The sequence below is a fragment of the Homo sapiens genome, chromosome 6 (genome assembly GCF_000001405.40).
Source record: "Homo sapiens chromosome 6, GRCh38.p14 Primary Assembly".
Taxonomy (NCBI): domain Eukaryota; kingdom Metazoa; phylum Chordata; class Mammalia; order Primates; family Hominidae; genus Homo; species Homo sapiens.
Genome location: NC_000006.12, coordinates 119,014,064 through 119,030,465, shown reverse-complemented (window position 1 = coordinate 119,030,465; position 16,402 = coordinate 119,014,064). Strand labels below are relative to the sequence as shown.

Below are 16,402 nucleotides of genomic sequence, written 5' to 3'. Positions count from 1 at the left end.
TTCTGTATGTTCAAAGAACATAGGGAATTTTTATATTACCTTGATCTGAAAAATAGTGTTCAGAGAAGGACACTAATAAATAGTTACCTTTATAATTACATAGAAAAATGAACAATTAGAGGATACTATATCCAGTTAAGCTCAACTTGAAAATTCATATGTAGCATTCTTACTTAAAAATAAGTTAGTAGTGGTGTATTTCAAGTGATCACTAATGAAAGCAGTATTAATTTGTTATTATGTTTGGCTTCATTTTGTTATTTCTTTTTAAGTTTTTAGAAACTTATTTAACATGGCTTTCCTTGGGAAATACCAATATATGGTCAGCATGAATATATATTCTTTTATAAAATATGCTTCCAGAATCTCTTAATTGGTTTTCTCAGTGTATGAGTGGTAGTGGAAAGAACCCTGTACTATTTAATAGGGAGTAAACCAAGCTATTGCAAATTTAGATCTTTTATTATTTTTTATTTGTGGCTGCCAATTTTGGCTGATAAGATGGCTTTTCTATGTATAGATTAGAACAGGAGTTTGTAATAAGGTGTTTTCCACAACTACTCAACTTTGCTGTCATAGTGGGAAAGCAGCTATAGGCAATACATAAACAAGTGGACATAACTGTGCTCCAATAATATTTTATTTATTAATACAAAGACAAGCAGCAGCCATATTTGGCCTACAGGTTGTAGTTTGCTAACTCCTGCATTAGAATGTCAAGTGAAATAAAAGCTCCTCACTATAATATTTTTTAAATTATTTGCCATGTTTTGTTTACTTAAATCCTATTCTAACTTAATGCTTTAATTTGTACATTTTTCTTTTTAAATTTCACCTTTTTGATTGCTACCGTGCTTTTATATCTTCAGCTTCTTTTTAGGGTCTCTAATATCCTCATACATCTTTCCAACCTTATCAAGACTCCTCCAAATTTAATTATATATTTACTGACAATCAGGAGTGAGTGAGGTAAGGCAATGGAGGTTCTAGATATAAAGAAAAGATAGACTCTTATGGATTTGGGTGGTCATGGAAGACTCATTAAAGGAGGCAGGACTGGAACTGATTCATCAAAGCTTCGAGGGAAATTTAATATTAGAAAAAAGAGAAGATTATTTCAATAAATTGTCGACAAGGGGAAACTCACATATTTCCTCCTTCCCTCATTTCATCCCCAAAATATGAATTCCACCAGGGACTGGTTCTTTCCCAGATCATTTCCTGGAACAGAATGCACAGAATGCTAATGATGTGACTTAGTTCTCTCTTTGGATTTTACCTCGTTGAATTCTCTTTTCCTTCCTTGTGGCTAGGACTGACCAGCCTTGGAAAGGCCTGAAGCCTGTGGCCTATACCAGTGTTGCTCTAGGCACTCTAGCAAATGGGCTTCTCTCTGGCTGGTTGGCTTGTTTTTCCTTAGTGTCCCTATATGAGATAGGAAAAAACAGGTTTTCCTACCCTTACACTGGATAGAACACATAACACCTCACCTCTGGTCACCAAAATGTGTGTGGATTTTCTCTCCCAACAACCAGTTCTCTAGTGGACACCAAATGAGTATACTATAATTCAGTTCATTTCTGACACTATCTGCCTGAAGATAGCATCAGATTCCACAGGTTAAAGGCTCAATCCCACAAGACTGCCCTCATTCAGATGCCAACTGCAAGTTCTTCTGGCAAAAAAGTAAGTAGAGGGTTCACACTACCCTCCCTTGGGTTGGATTAATTTGCTAGAATGGCTCTCAGAACTCAGAAAAACATGTTTACCCCCATTTATAGGGTACAGAAGAAGTTAGTTAGAGGGAAGAGATGCATAGGGCAGGGTCTGTGGGAAGGAATGTGGAGTTTCTTTGCATTTTCCAGGCATGCCACCCTCCCAGCACCTCCACGTGTTCAGAAATCTGGAAACTTGACTTTTGTGTTTTTATGAAGGCTCCGCTGTGTAGGCATGGTTGATTAAATCATTGGTTGTTGGTGATCAACTCAACTCTCCGACCTTGTCTCCTCCCTAGAGGACCCTGTATGGGGCTGGAAGTTCCAACTGTATAGTCACATGATGGGTTCCTCTGGCAGCCAGCCCCAATCCTGAGGCCTTCCCAAGAGCCCACTAGGAGTCATGTCATTAGAACAAAAGATGCTCCTATCCCGCAAGAGATTCCAAGGGATTTAGGAGCTCTGCTGTTAAAGAACAGAACTGGAGTCTGCTCAACTGGCACAGTGAAAACACACATCAAGGTTTTTGCAGTGACAGAAAGTTGCCTATTGCAGAGTGCTAAGCAGGGGGGGACCAGCCAGCTAAATGCTCAAATCTGGCCTCCCTGATGGCTTGCAGGCAAGGATTTTTAGGCTTGCAGGCAAGGATTTTTAAAGGCAGGGGTAAATTTCAAGAAAGCAGAAGCTACAGGCAAAATCATAAATCAATACAAGGAGGTTACACATTGGCTTAAGCTTAAAAGGGCAGGACATTTGAAGTGGGGGGCACTCACAGATGGTAGGTAGATTCAGAACTCTTCGGATTTGCAGTTGATTAAGGAAGGGAAGCTTTGTTTAAAACATTTAAGTTCAGTAGAAAAATGCTGACTTGCTAGAGGGAATGACTTTCTCTAAGTTCCTCAGGAAGAAACTTACTAATAAAACAAAGGGTAATAGCTAAAATTTAGTCTTCATTTCCCCCTTATCTGGAGTCTGTATGCCAGCAGATCCATTCAGTGGGGTTTCAAGCCTCTAAAAGACAACTCAAGGATGTATGTTAGGATGTTATCTTTAGTTTCTGTAGGAAAAGCAAACATCTCTGGAGCTTTAACTTCCTTGGCTATTGTTCTGCTACCTTTTCGTTTAACAAGTTACTGAATTACCTCCGGGGCTAGCTAGATGCCTGGAATGTTTCTTAAAGGAACTTTGGGGTTTTCCTTTATTTCCATGTTTGGGGGTTTGCAGGTCCCTAAAAGGAGAGGTGGGGTCCCTGCTATATTTCACTGTGTCCAATGATCCTATCGCACAGGAAATTACAAAAGTCTTAGGAGCTCTATGTCAGGAACTGGGGGAAGAGACCAAATATATATTTCTTATGTAAACCAAAAAGTATGTGAGACAGGTCTCAGTCAATTTAGAGGTTTATTTTGCCAAACTTAAAGACCATGGTCTGTGACACAGCCTCAGGGAATCTTGAGAACATATGCGCAAGGTGGTTTGGTTACAACTTGGTTTATACATTGTAGGGAGACAGAAGTTACAGGCAAAGACATAAATCAGTATGTGTAATGTTCAGCCTGGAAAGTGGGACATCTCTAGGTGGGCGTGAGGGAGGTTTTAGGTCATAGGTGGATTCAGAGATTTCCTGATTGGCAATTGGTTGAAAGAGGTAAGCCCTGACTAAAGAGTTGAATTCAGCATAAAGAAATGCTTGAGTTTAGTTAGATAAGGGGGTTGTGGACGCCAAGGTTCTTGTCATGTAGATGAGGCCTCCAGGTAGCAGGCTTCAGAGAGAATAGATGGTAAATATCTCTTATCAGACCTTAAAAGGTGTCATGCTCTCTGGAGAAGACCGAGTATGGGAAGGAGATTCTCTACAGAATGCAAATTTACTTTACAGGAGGCAGCTTTACAGGGGCATTTCAGAATATGGAATGTCAAACAAAAAAATTTTAGGGTAAAATACTTTGATTTTCTTCAGGGCTTGCAATAAAATACCAAACTCCAACCTGACTCTTGGTATAGTATCACATGATGTTGTTTGGAATTTGGTATTTTATTGCTATGAAGAGTCTGTTTTGTCAGTCTTATGATCTCTGTTTTAATGTTAACGTCGGTCAGTTGTGTCTAAATCCCGAAGTATAGAGTGCAGAAAAGCCCAGCATGTCCAATCCATAATGAGGCATGTCTGACCCCTCCCTTTCAGTCATGGCCTAAACTATTTTTTCAGGTTTCTTTGGGGTCCACTTGGCTAAGAGGAGGGTCCGTTCAATCGGTTGGGGGCTTAGAATTATATTTTTGGTACACTTGTTATATCACAGATCCTTTCAGTCTTTTATGGCCATTTGACTTGGTGGGCGGATATGACCCAAGGGGATGGGAATAGGAAGTCAGTCAGCTTTCTTGGCTTATAAGCTACCTTTATGAGTAAATGTGTAAATGAAGGAGTCCTGCTTGGGATCTGTGTTACCTTATTGGGAACATAATTTGGAATTTGAAATTAGGGTTTTTTAAAAACAGAATGTGAATAAGTACTTCTGTTCACATTTTTTCCTGTAGACTTTGCAAAAAGGGATAGCATGGCAAGACAGATGGGTTCCTGCCATCTCTCAATCTTTTTACCTTTGGTATGATGGCAGACTAAGCGAGTATATGGACAGGGCCACTGGATCTGGAAGACAAAGCCCTATGTGGAGAAAGTGATGCCCCTGTGTTGAGGCAGCCTTCTTGTTTCTTTTGCAAGCACAACTGCTGTCCCAGACAGTGACAGCCTATCTTTAGCGAGTGGGATCTGGAGTTACTGTGGTATTTGGAGAGCCAGCCAGTCTGCCACAGTTACCTCAGGCTGCATGAATAATTTCTCTACAAAAAATGGCAGCAGTTTTCCATCATAACTGCAGTTTCTGGTATCTGATGCTGGAATTCATTTCTAAAGCCAGAGTAATATCACATTAAAATGAGCAAATCTCCAGACACTGATTTTTAGCTGCTGGATTTTTTGATTGTACAGTGTTTACTTCTTTTCGCTTCCGGGGGAAGAAAGTGGGCTCATCTCAAAGCCTTAAATAACAGTCATGAAAATTTCACCGTGTGACCACAGTGGCATGATGGATGGCATCCGAGGAACAGAGGGAAGGAAGGAGAGTGTTACTGTGCAGGGAATTTGTTGTCATTTGAAATTAAGGTTGGGACATCTCAGTGAAATCATTAAAACCTAGGAACTAAAATGAAAATAAAGACCTGTACTCAAAACTCTGGCTTAAGGAATTGGGTTGCTTGGAGGCAGAGAGAAAATTAGCCAAAGAGTAAAACTACAGCATTTGAAATATGAAGAGAAAAAGTACAAATTGGATTTTATAAAGAGATCACTAGAAACTTGAAGAGAGAAGAGGATCAGCTTTAGAAGCAAACTATAGGGGAATTGGGAAAGGAAAGTTTAAAATTTGAAATATTTAAACAGGCCATTACAAAGATAAAAGGCTTTTGGGAAGACTTAGGGCCTAGGGCTTCTCTTCATGTGAAGCCTCTCGTATCTCTAGGACACCAATATAGGGCAGAGTCTTACTATGAGACTTTTTCTCCTGAACACCCCTTCACAGTCCCCGGTAAGCTAGATTGGGACATATGAGAACTCCTTTCTCTTAGGCCAATTGCCTCCTTTGTCCATTTCCTCTTTGCTGTTTCATTTGTAGTAAAAAATAGTCTTAAATTTGAATGTTTTAAAATTATAACTAAAAAGTCTTTAAATACAAATCTTAAGACTGTGCTAAGATAGAAATTTGCTAAGCAAATCAATCTATGAGTAAAAAAACAATTGCATCAAGATTCCATATTTAACATTAGCTGTAGCCAATATTATGTGCATAGAAAAATATCAATCCAAATGAAAGAATTGACTTCAAGTTAGAAAATAATATGGATTCACAATCCTTCTCCCTTCTTATTCAAAACCATGCAGGTAATATATGCTTTAAACACTAAAAATGATGAGCATGAATCTGCAATTCAAGCCCTCAAAGATGCTCATGAAGAAGAAATTCAACAAATTCTTGCTGAAACAAGAGAAAAAATATTGCAGTATAAAAGCAAAGTAACAGAGGAGCTAGACCTTAGAAGAAAGATTCAAGTTTTAGAATCATCATTAGAAGATCACATAAAAATGAAGCAGCAGGCTTTGACAGAATTTGAAGCTTATAAGCACAGAGTTGAGGACATGCAACTTTGTGCAGAAGCCCAGCATGTCCAACGCATAGTGACCATGTCTAGAGAAGTCGAAGAGATTAGAAGGAAATTTGAAGAAAAATTACGGAGCTTTGGACAACTTCAAGTACAGTTTGAAAAAGACAAACGATTGGCATTGGAAGACTTGCAAGCTGCTCACAGACGGGAGATACAAGAGCTATTGAAGTCACAGCAGGATCACAGTGCCTCAGTAAATAAAGGCCAGGAAAAGGCAGAGGAACTACACAGAATGGAGGTGGAGTCCCTAAACAAAATGCTTGAGGAGCTAAGACTTGAACGGAAGAAACTAATTGAGGATTATGAAGGCAAGTTGAATAAAGCTCAGTCCTTTTATGAACGTGAGCTTGATACTTTGAAAAGGTCACAGCTTTTTACAGCAGAAAGCCTACAGGCCAGCAAAGAAAAGGAAGCTGATCTTAGAAAAGAATTTCAGGGACAAGAAGCAATTTTACGAAAAACTATAGGAAAATTAAAGACAGAGTTACAGATGGTACAGGATGAAGCTGGAAGTCTTCTTGACAAATGCCAAAAGCTTCAGACGGCACTTGCCATAGCAGAGAACAATGTTCAGGTAAGTAAAGAATATTATATTCAACACATGGATTTTTTTTCTTTTAAAAATATTTGTTTTGTAGGCTGGAGAGCAGTCTGGCCCACTTAGAATCAGTGGCTTCACACCACTTAGACTTTTTTTTTTTTTTTTTTTTAACTTTTCCTGCTTTTCCTTTGTGAGAAAAATCAATGACAGGATAATTTGTATTACCCTGTAGTTGTTATTTCAGACTTTCAGATATTAGGGGCCCAAAAAGACAAGCTTAAAACCTTGTCTAATTATTGGCTAGGCACAGTGGTACACACCTGTAATCCCAGCACTTTGGGGGGCCCAGGCAGGAGGATCGCTTCAGGCCAGGTGTTAGAAACCAGCCTGGGTGAGTGAGCTTAGCGAGGTAATACGCTGTTCCTGGGGGGGGGGGCGGACAATATTGCTAATTATTTACAAAAGGATTTTAATATTGGGCTTAAAGTTTAAATACATTTTTTTCTTTTCCTTTCACTAATAATGGTTTGCCTGCTAGCTGATATTTAGAATTTGATCAAGAAATTGCTTGCTTTCTAAACCTGAATTTAATAGGGGTATTGCACAAGTCTGGGGGAAAAAAATGCCGGAAGTCCACAAGTTTTGTTTTGTTGGCTTAGAAAATTTCATAGCCATGTTTTTAATATCTGTGCAACATTAGAATGGATTAGAAAGTGTGGAATAGCCTTTCCTGATTGGGTCATGTTTATGAAAACATCAAGTTATAAATCACTAATACTTACAGATTTAAAAATTGGTATATAGTTTAGTATGACTTCTGAATAAGAGAAAGCTGACCCTTATAATTTAAATGAATTATTTAGCTTAGTATTATTCCTGCATTTTAACAATGGCTATTTAATCTTTCTTAGGTTCTTCAAAAACAGCTTGATGATGCCAAGGAGGGAGAAATGGCCCTATTAAGCAAGCACAAAGAAGTGGAAAGTGAGCTAGCAGCTGCCAGAGAACGTTTACAACAGCAAGCTTCAGATCTTGTCCTCAAAGCTAGTATGTGTGACCACAGTTTTTGATGTAATGCTTAGCTAAAATCAACACTTTATTTATTTATTTTTTTGGAGACAGAGTCTTGCTCTGTCGCCCAGACGGGAGTGCAGTGGCTCAATCTCGGCTCATTGCAACCTCTGCCTCCTGGGTTCAAGCAATTCTCCTGCCTCAGCTTCCTGAGTAGCTGGGACTACAGGTGCCCGCCACCATGCTTGGCTAATTTTTTTGTATTTTTAGTAGAGATGGAGTTTCACCGTGTTGCCCAGGCTGGTCTCGAACTCCTGAGCTCAGGCAGTCTCCCTGCCTCAGCCTCCCAAAGTGCTGGGATTACAGGCATGAGCCACCACGCTCGGCCCCAACACTTAAATGTTAATTTAAGGTAGCATTTATTTTTTCTTCTAACATTTTAAAACTATTTAGACTGTAAATAAGTTAAAGGACTCAATATGTTACTAATTACTTATAAGATACACAAATATTTTTTATTTTTAGGAATATATTTTTATAGAAAACTTGAGAGTTTTCCTTTGTGAGGAAAAATACCAATAGCAGGTAAAATACCAATAAAGTAGTCACTAAAAGAAAAACGGGCTGGGCATGGTGGCTTACACCTATAATCTCAGCACTTTGGGAGGCCAAAGTGGGCAGATCACTTGTGGCCAGAGGTTTGAGACCAGCCTGACCAACGAGGTGAAACCACATCTCTACTAAAAATAACAAAAATTAGCTGGGCATGGTGGTACACACTTGTAATTCCAGCTACTAAGGAGGCTGAGGCATGAGAATTACTTGAACCTGGTGGCAGAGGTTGCAGTGAGCCGAGATTGCGCCAGTGCACTTCAGCCTGAGCAACAGAGCAAGGCTGTATCAAAAAAAAAAAAAAAAAAAAAAAAAGAAAGAACGAAAAATGAAGCACACTTTTCAAGAGGTGTTGTCCTTTAAAAATATACATTTTATTTTATTTTATTTTTTGAGACAAGGTCTTGTTCTGTCACCTAGACTGGAGTGCAGTGGCATGAACACAACTCACTGTAGCCTGGACTTCCTGGGCTCAAGTGATCCTCCCACTTCAGCTTCCTGAGTAGCTGGGACCACAGGCATGCACCACCTTGGCTGGCTAATTTTTTAATTTTTTGTAAAGACGGGGTCTTGCCATGTTGCCTAGGGTGACCTCAAACTCCTGGGCTCTAGCAGTTCTCCCACCTTGGCCTCCCAAAGTGCTGGGATTTCAGGTGTGAGCCACCATGCCAGCATTTATTTAGTTTTTAGAGATGGGATCTTGTTCTGTTGCTCAGGCTTGAGTGCAGTGGCCTGATCATAGCTCACTGCAGCCTAAAACTCCTGGGCTTAAGTAATCCTCTTGCCTTAGCCTTCCCAGTAGCTGGGACTCTAGGTATGCCACGGGCTAACTTTTTTAAAGATGAGGTCTCACTGAAAAAATACACATTTTAAAGTGCTCAAATTAGTTGAAGTTTGTAAATTACAGCAGTTCATTTCTTAGGGCTTGTTACTAAGGTTCATTTTTACATACTAAAGCTGACTTGCCTATTTCTCAAGTGGCTGGTATGCTTTTTCACAACCATTACTGGAGGAAGTGGGTGACTTGTGTCAGTTCTGAAGTTATATTTTGTCTAAGTGTTTAGTGTGCCCAGGAAGGCTGTTTGAGCTGGTTCTTTGAGGATCTCATTTGATTTTGATTGGCTTATCAGTGAATCTCAGATTTTCCTTCCTCTAAAATAGTTGTTTTTAATAGCCTTTAGTGCACATTGGAGTGACCTGAAGGGTTTGTGAAACTACAGATGCTGGGCCCCACCCTCAGAGTTTCTGATTCACTTTTAGGTCTGGGGTGGGTCACATTTCTAACCAGAGTTCCCAGGTGATGCTGGTGATGCTGGTCCTGGGTACTTTGAGAACCTCTGCCTTAAACTATCCTTTCTATGAGACCTTTTTCTTCACTCACTTTTCATCTCTCTGTCTCTCCTCATTTTTCTCCACCTTCCCTGCTTTTTGCTGTCATTTAAGAGATTCTTTCATAACCTTGCTGTCTTTATCTGTGTCTTACATCACCTTAGTTGTTGGTTGGTTGGTTGTTTTTATTTGGAGATGAGGTCTCGCTATGTTGCAGGACATAGTGCAGTGGCTGTTACAGGTGCAGTCATAGCTCACTGCAACCTTGAACTCCTGGGCTCAAACAATCCTCCCATCTCAACCTCCCAAGTAGCTGGAACTACAAGCTCCACTTTAGGTCTTTATCTGGCCTCTTGCCTGAAACAAATTCAATTTCAACCAAACTGCTATCTGCCATCTTTGTTTCCTACATACAAACTTCTTCCTTTTTATGTTAGAATTTGAAAATAAATTAGAAAAGAACGAATCACTCATTTTGGCGCCACAGTGTCAGTCAGTGCATCCTCTCCGTCCTTCTTTTATTCCCAGGAGACTTTCTTATGAAGCCTACTGAGGAGTTGCGCCTACTTCAACCTGTTTAGCTTGCAATCTTAAAAAAACAAAAACAAAAACAAAAAAAACCAGTAAAACGGTACGAGGTGCAGGAAGCAACATTAATCATGTGAAAATGACGTTTTAATTTAAATTATTCTAGTGCGCTAAGAAGTATTTTCATGTAAATATTTCCATTTTATGTAGTGAAGAAACAAAAGGAAAATTTGTACATGTAGACCATTTATTTTACTTAAGTATAAAGTACAGTTGTGTTATTAAATGTAAACTGTTTATCTCATAGTACAACTGATTTTTAAATTGAAGGGATTTTCTTTTTGGGGGATAGGTCATATTGGAATGCTTCAAGCAACTCAAATGACCCAGGAAGTTACAATTAAAGATTTAGAATCAGAAAAATCGAGAGTCAATGAGAGATTATCTCAACTTGAAGAGGAAAGAGCTTTTTTGCGAAGCAAAACCCAAAGTCTGGATGAAGAGCAGAAGCAACAGATTCTAGAACTGGAGAAGGTAAAAAGTAATGGACACTCCATTCCCCCCGAAAGAGTTCCGTTTTTCTCTTTTTCACATTTGAAGTATTTGGAGTATTTCTTGCTACTCCCCAGTAACAATACATTTCCTACTTTAGTAGTTATTTTTGGTTCTAATTTTGAGGAAATGGGTATATAGCTAGACTATCCTATGCTGTATGTATGTTCAAAATATGTGGGTAACAATCTATATAATATAAAAACTTTAAGACATTTCAACCTATTTCAAGCCAGAAATTGAATAAACTCTTATTTCAGTGGAGTGTATACTTATAATCATTATTCGTTTTCTATTAATGAAATATATTACTGCATATCCATGTAGGAAATTTCTGTAGAACTGAAAATATGACAAGCTTCAAGCTCTGAAAATGTATACCAAGATAATTGAATTTCTAGTTTAACAAGTGAAACATCATTTATAGAGTAATTGCTGAATATGTATTCCAGTTTTTCAGATGCCCACAATACCAAGTGGGAGTTTTGGACATACTTTTCTTTCTCTTTCCCTCAACGTCTAAGTATTTTGAAAATATCTATTCTCTTTGCTCTTTACTTACTTCCATTCATTCCTTAACCTGGTGCAGTCCTCTCTGACCATCAGTCCACAGAATTTGCTTTTGCCTCAGCCCTCAGTGCCATCCTGATTGGTGGACTTGGTGGATCATATCTTACTGTGGTACTTACTACCCACTGATTTACAATCTCTCATCTCTTGGTATTTCACATTCTTTCACATTTTTCTCGTACCTCCTTGGCCTTACAGTCTTCTTTGTGAACTTCCCTCCTCCATCTGTTCCCTTACCATTGATGTTTCCAGTATTTTCATCTAATTCTACGCACTCATTCATTCCAGTAACATCAACTGTCACTTATTCAGTGATAGCTTCTAAATCTTTAGGTCCAGGCCAGACATTTTCTCTGAATTTAAGTCTTTTATCCTTTCCACTAGATATCTCCATTTATGTTTTTCACAAACATCAAGTTACCATGCCCAGAACTTTCTCCTCTCAAAAGTACTAAGTTTCTTTTACTCCTTATTTCAACCAATAGCACCACTGTCTATCTAGTTGCTAAATCAAAAAGCTGAAAGTCATTCTTGATTACTGTTTTCTCAGCCCCTTTATCTGTTACAGAGTCCTGTTGGTTCTACTTCCTTAATATATTTTTATTCCATCCTCCCCTGCTCATACCCATTTATAGATCCGAGGTTTAGGCACGTGTCATTGCTTGCCTGGATTATAGTCACAACTGCCTAGCAGCAATCTCTGATTTCAGTTGGCTCACCAGCCTGCTTCCAAGATGATTGTTTTTAAAAGTATATAATTTGCTTAAAACTTCAGTGATTTCTCAGTCCCTTCAGAAGAAAATTCAAAGTTCTTGGTGTAAAAGACCCCATCTCATTATTTTATTCCTGCCTACTTCTGAGCCCCGTCTTTCACCACTTTATCACCTTGTATCCTGTATTCTATCCAGACTGCTTAGCTGCACAGACTTTCTGTCTCCCTAAACTTTCCCATCTGGTTAGCTACTTGCCATCTTTCCAATGCTGCACAACAATAGAAACAGTTATGAATGTAGGCTTTTGACAACAGACCTAGGCTTGACATTTTCTTATCATTAATTTCCTCTGGGGTTGTTGTAAGAATTAAATGAGAGAATGTCATCACCAGCTCAGATGCTTTCTCTTCTGAAAAGCCTTCCCTGATATCTCTCTGTCTCTGTCTTTGTCTCTCTCTCTCTGAAACACACACACACATGCACACGCACATGCACTTTCTCACCGCGTCCAAGTTAGGCATCCTTCTAATATACTCCCATAACACGGGATATACATCTGCATTAGTTCATTTTGCATTGCTGTAAGGGAATACCTGAGACTGGGTAATTTATGAAGAGAAGACGGATATTTGGCTTGCAGTTCTGCGGTCCGTGCATGAAATGTAGTACTGGCATCTGTTTCTGGTGAGGCCTCAGGAAGCTTACAATCATGCTGGAAGGAGGAGGGGAGCCAGCATGTCACAGGACAAGAGAGAGAGCGAGAGAGAGGAAGGAGGTGCCAGGCTCCTTTAAACAACCAGATCTCACATAAACTCATAGAGTGAGAGCTCACTCATTATTGCAAGGACAGCACCAAGCTATTCATATGGGATTTACCCCCATGATCCAGACACCTCCCACTAGTCACATCTCCAACATTGGAGGTCACATTTCAACATGAGATCTGGTGGAGACAAAAAAATCCAAACCTGTGTCAACATCCCTTTTTCATAGAACTTATAAAACTATATTGCCATAGTCTTTGTATTTTTTTCATTATTAGAACTGTGAATGCCCAAAAGGTACGTAATTGGCATTCAAAATTGTATTGAGTGATATCCTTTGAGTGGGTTAACTGGTAAGCCATTTTGTGTACTATTTTGACATAAAAGGAAGCCCTTTACTCTTTTTTTTTTTTTTGAGATGGAGTCTCGCTCTGTCGCCCAGGCTGGAGTGCAGTGGTGCAATCTCAGCTCACTGCAAACTCTGTCTCCCAGTTTCACGCCATTCTCCTGCCTCAGCCTCCCAAGTAGCTGGGACTACAGGCACCCGCCACCGCGCCCAGCTAATTTTTTGTATTTTTAGTAGAGACGGGGTTTCACCGTGTTAGCCAGGATGGTCTTGATCTCCTGACCTCGTGATCCACCCGCCTCGGCCTCCCAAAGTGCTGGGATTACAGGCGTGAGCCACTGCACCCGGCCCAGCCCTTTACTCTTAAGCTTGCAGATGTATTAACTCACATTTGGTCTAATATGATAATAGTCTATTTTATCTCTTGCTTTAACATTTTTGATTTTGTATAGGCTCCCCTTTCACTTTCTGAGAACACTAATGATTTGTTGTCATGTTTCATAGTCTAGATCCCGTAGCACTCAGTTTATTCAAGCTTCCATATTTATAGGGTATTCAAATTACCCTAATAACAGTAATGAAAAAAGCAGGTGCCGATTATTGATCTTTGTTTTAATTTTAGAAAGTAAATGAAGCAAAGAGAACTCAGCAAGAATATTATGAAAGGGAACTTAAAAACCTGCAAAGTAGATTGGAAGAGGAGGTGACTCAATTAAACGAGGCCCATTCTAAGACTTTGGAAGAATTAGCTTGGAAGCACCATATGGCAATTGAAGCTGTCCACAGTAATGCAATTAGGGATAAGAAAAAACTGCAAATGGTGAGTAAAAATTTAATTTATCATTGCATTGTAAATTGATGATATTTCTGTAGTAGTGTGTCCGGAATTGGTGGGTTCTTGGTCTCACTGACTTCAAGAATAAACCCACGGACCCCCGCGGTGAGTGTTACAGCTCTTAAGGTGGCGCGTCTGGAGTCTGCCCCTTCTGATGTTCAGATGTGTTCGGAGTTTCTTCCTTCTGGTGGGTTGGTGGTCTCACTGGCTCAGGAGTGAAGCTGCAGACCTTCGCGGTGAGTGTTACAGCTCTTAAGGTAGCGCGTCTGGAGTTGTTCGTTCCTCCCAGTGGGCTCGTGGTCTTGCTAGGCTCAGGAGTGAAGCTGCAGATCTTCGTGGTGAGTGTTACAGCTCATAAAAGCAGCGTGGACCCAAAGAGTGAGCAGTAGCAAGATTTATTGCAAAGAGTGAAAGAACAAAGCTTCCACAGTGTGGAAGGGGACCCGAGCGGGTTGTCAATGCTGGCTCGGGCAGCCTGCTTTTATTCTCTTATCTGGCCCCACCCACATCCTGCTGATTGGTAGAGCTGAGTGGCCTGTTTTGTCAGGGCGCTGATTGGTGCATTTACAATCCCTGAGCTAGATACAAAGGTTCTCCACATTCCCATCAGATTAGTTAGTTACAGAGTTTCACACACAGGTTCTCCAAGGCCCCACCAGAGCAGCTAGATACAGAGTGTCAATTGGTGCACTCACAAACCTTGAGCTAAACACAGGGTGCTGATTGGTGTGTTTACAAACCTTGAGCTAGATACAGAGTGTCGATTGGTGTATTTACAATCCCTGAGCTAGACATAAAGGTTCTCCAAGGCCCCACCAGAGCAGCTAGATACAGAGTGTCGATTGGTGCACTCACAAACCTTGAGCTAAACACAGGGTGCTGATTGGTGTATTTACAATCCCTGAGCTAGACATAAAGACTCTCCAGGTCCCCACCAGACTCAGGAGCCCAGCTGGCTTCACCTAGTGGATCCCGCACCGGGGCTGCAGGTGGAGCTGCCTGCCAGTTCCGTGCCATGTGCTCGCACTCCTCAGCCCTTGGGCGGTCGATGGGACTGGGCGCCGTGGAGCAGGGGGCAGCATTCGTCGGGGGAGGCTCGGGTTGCACAGGAACCCACGGAGGCGGGGGAAGGCTCAGGCATGGCGGGCTGCAGTCCCGAGGCCTGCCCCGTGGGAAGGCAGCTAAGGCCCGGCAAAAAATCGAGTGCAGCATCGGTGGGCTGGCACTGCTGGGGGACCCAGTACACCCTCCGCAGCCGCTGGCCCGGGTGCTAAGCCCCTCACTGCCCGGGGCCCGCAGGGCCGGCCGGCCGCTCTGAGTGTGGGGCCCGCCAAGCCCACACCCACCCAGAACTCCAGCTGGCCCGCAAGTGCTGCGTGCAGCCTCAATTCCTGCTTGTGCCTCTCCCTCCACACCTCCCTGCAAGTTGAGGGAGCCGGCTCTGGCCTTGGCCAGTCCAGAAAGGGGCTCCCGCAGTGCAGCGGCAGGCCGAAGGGCTCCTCAAGTGCCACCAGAGTGGGAACCCAGGCAGAGGAGGCGCCGAGAGCAAGCGAGGGCTCTGAGGACTGCCAGCACACTGTCACCTCTCAGTAGTCCAGTGTGACCTATATTGTAGAGCAATGATTTGCTGCTGCTGCTGCTTTTCTTTTCTTTTTCTTTTTTTTTTTTGAGACAGAGTCTCGCTCTGTCTCTCAGTCTGGAGTGCAGTGCAGTGGCACAATCTCGGCTCATTGCAACCTCCACCTCCCAGGTTCAAACAAGTCTCCTGCCTCAGCCTCCTGAGTAGCTGGGACTACAGGCGCATGCCACCACACCTGGCTAATTTTTGTATTTTTAGTACAGACAGGGTTTCACCATGTTGGCCAGGCTGGTCTCGAACTCCTGACCTCAAGTGATCCTCCCACCTCAGCCTCCCAAAATGCTGGAATTATAGGTGTGAGCTACCGCACTCAGCTGATTTCCTTCATTTTGATGGTTTCTGTCTTGTAATCATTCTTGAAGTCATGGTTCAAAGAGTAACATACCTGGTAGTTCTTGAAATGAGATATAGCTTATTGAATTTATTTAAGACATTGCTACTTCATATAAGCCATAATAGAAACACTGTTTTTGTTCTTGAGCTGTCTCTTCATGAGACAATTTAATAGGTGTGCTCTTCAGGAAGCCTCAACTAGTTGAAAGTATGTATTCTCTCGTAGATAGTTTTCTTCTTTGAGAAAATGATTTATGTTTTGTTTTGTTTGTTTCTTCCACAATTAAGTATTCAGCTTGCTAATAGTAATATATGACAGACAGAATTGCAGAGTAGAAAAAGCAAAGTATCTGACAGACCTTGGCCTTACACTGAGCTCTTTGCCTATTAACTGTATTACTTTGGGCCTCAAAAGCTATGCCTTAGGCTCCTCATCTGACAAAAGATATGATTCAACTTAAAATGTTCCTTCGAGGATTAAGTCAGATAAAGTGTTGAGTACCAAGCCATGTTCTAGCACATGATGATAAAAATTAGTTATTAGTACTTCTTACTATGTACCACATACTACAGTAATGTTTTGCATCTTTTAAAAAATCTAATTCTTATGACACTTTGGTTTGATTTCTCTACACATTTTACTGAAGAGGGGATGTGCTCAAGCACATGCAACTAGTAAGACTCAGTCAGGCCTTG

At 41.0% G+C, this 16,402-nt stretch overlaps 1 protein-coding gene and 1 long non-coding RNA gene across 4 annotated transcripts in view; one reads left to right on the top strand and one right to left on the bottom strand.

The window, feature by feature from the left end:
• Positions 1 to 16,402, bottom strand: part of LOC124901389 (uncharacterized) — a 96,627-nt gene that overhangs the window by 1,076 nt on the left and 79,149 nt on the right. The gene's annotated exons all lie outside the window — the stretch shown is intronic.
• Positions 1 to 16,402, top strand: part of FAM184A (family with sequence similarity 184 member A) — a 189,366-nt gene that overhangs the window by 118,663 nt on the left and 54,301 nt on the right. For all 3 annotated transcript variants that reach the window (NM_001288576.2, NM_001100411.3, NM_024581.6), the window contains exons 2-5: positions 5,653 to 6,507; positions 7,386 to 7,521; positions 10,307 to 10,488; positions 13,522 to 13,719. In NM_001288576.2, the coding sequence (NP_001275505.1) occupies positions 5,854 to 6,507; positions 7,386 to 7,521; positions 10,307 to 10,488; positions 13,522 to 13,719 (1,170 nt within the window). In that variant the 5' untranslated portion in view covers positions 5,653 to 5,853. The remainder of the gene's footprint in view (positions 1 to 5,652; positions 6,508 to 7,385; positions 7,522 to 10,306; positions 10,489 to 13,521; positions 13,720 to 16,402) is intronic.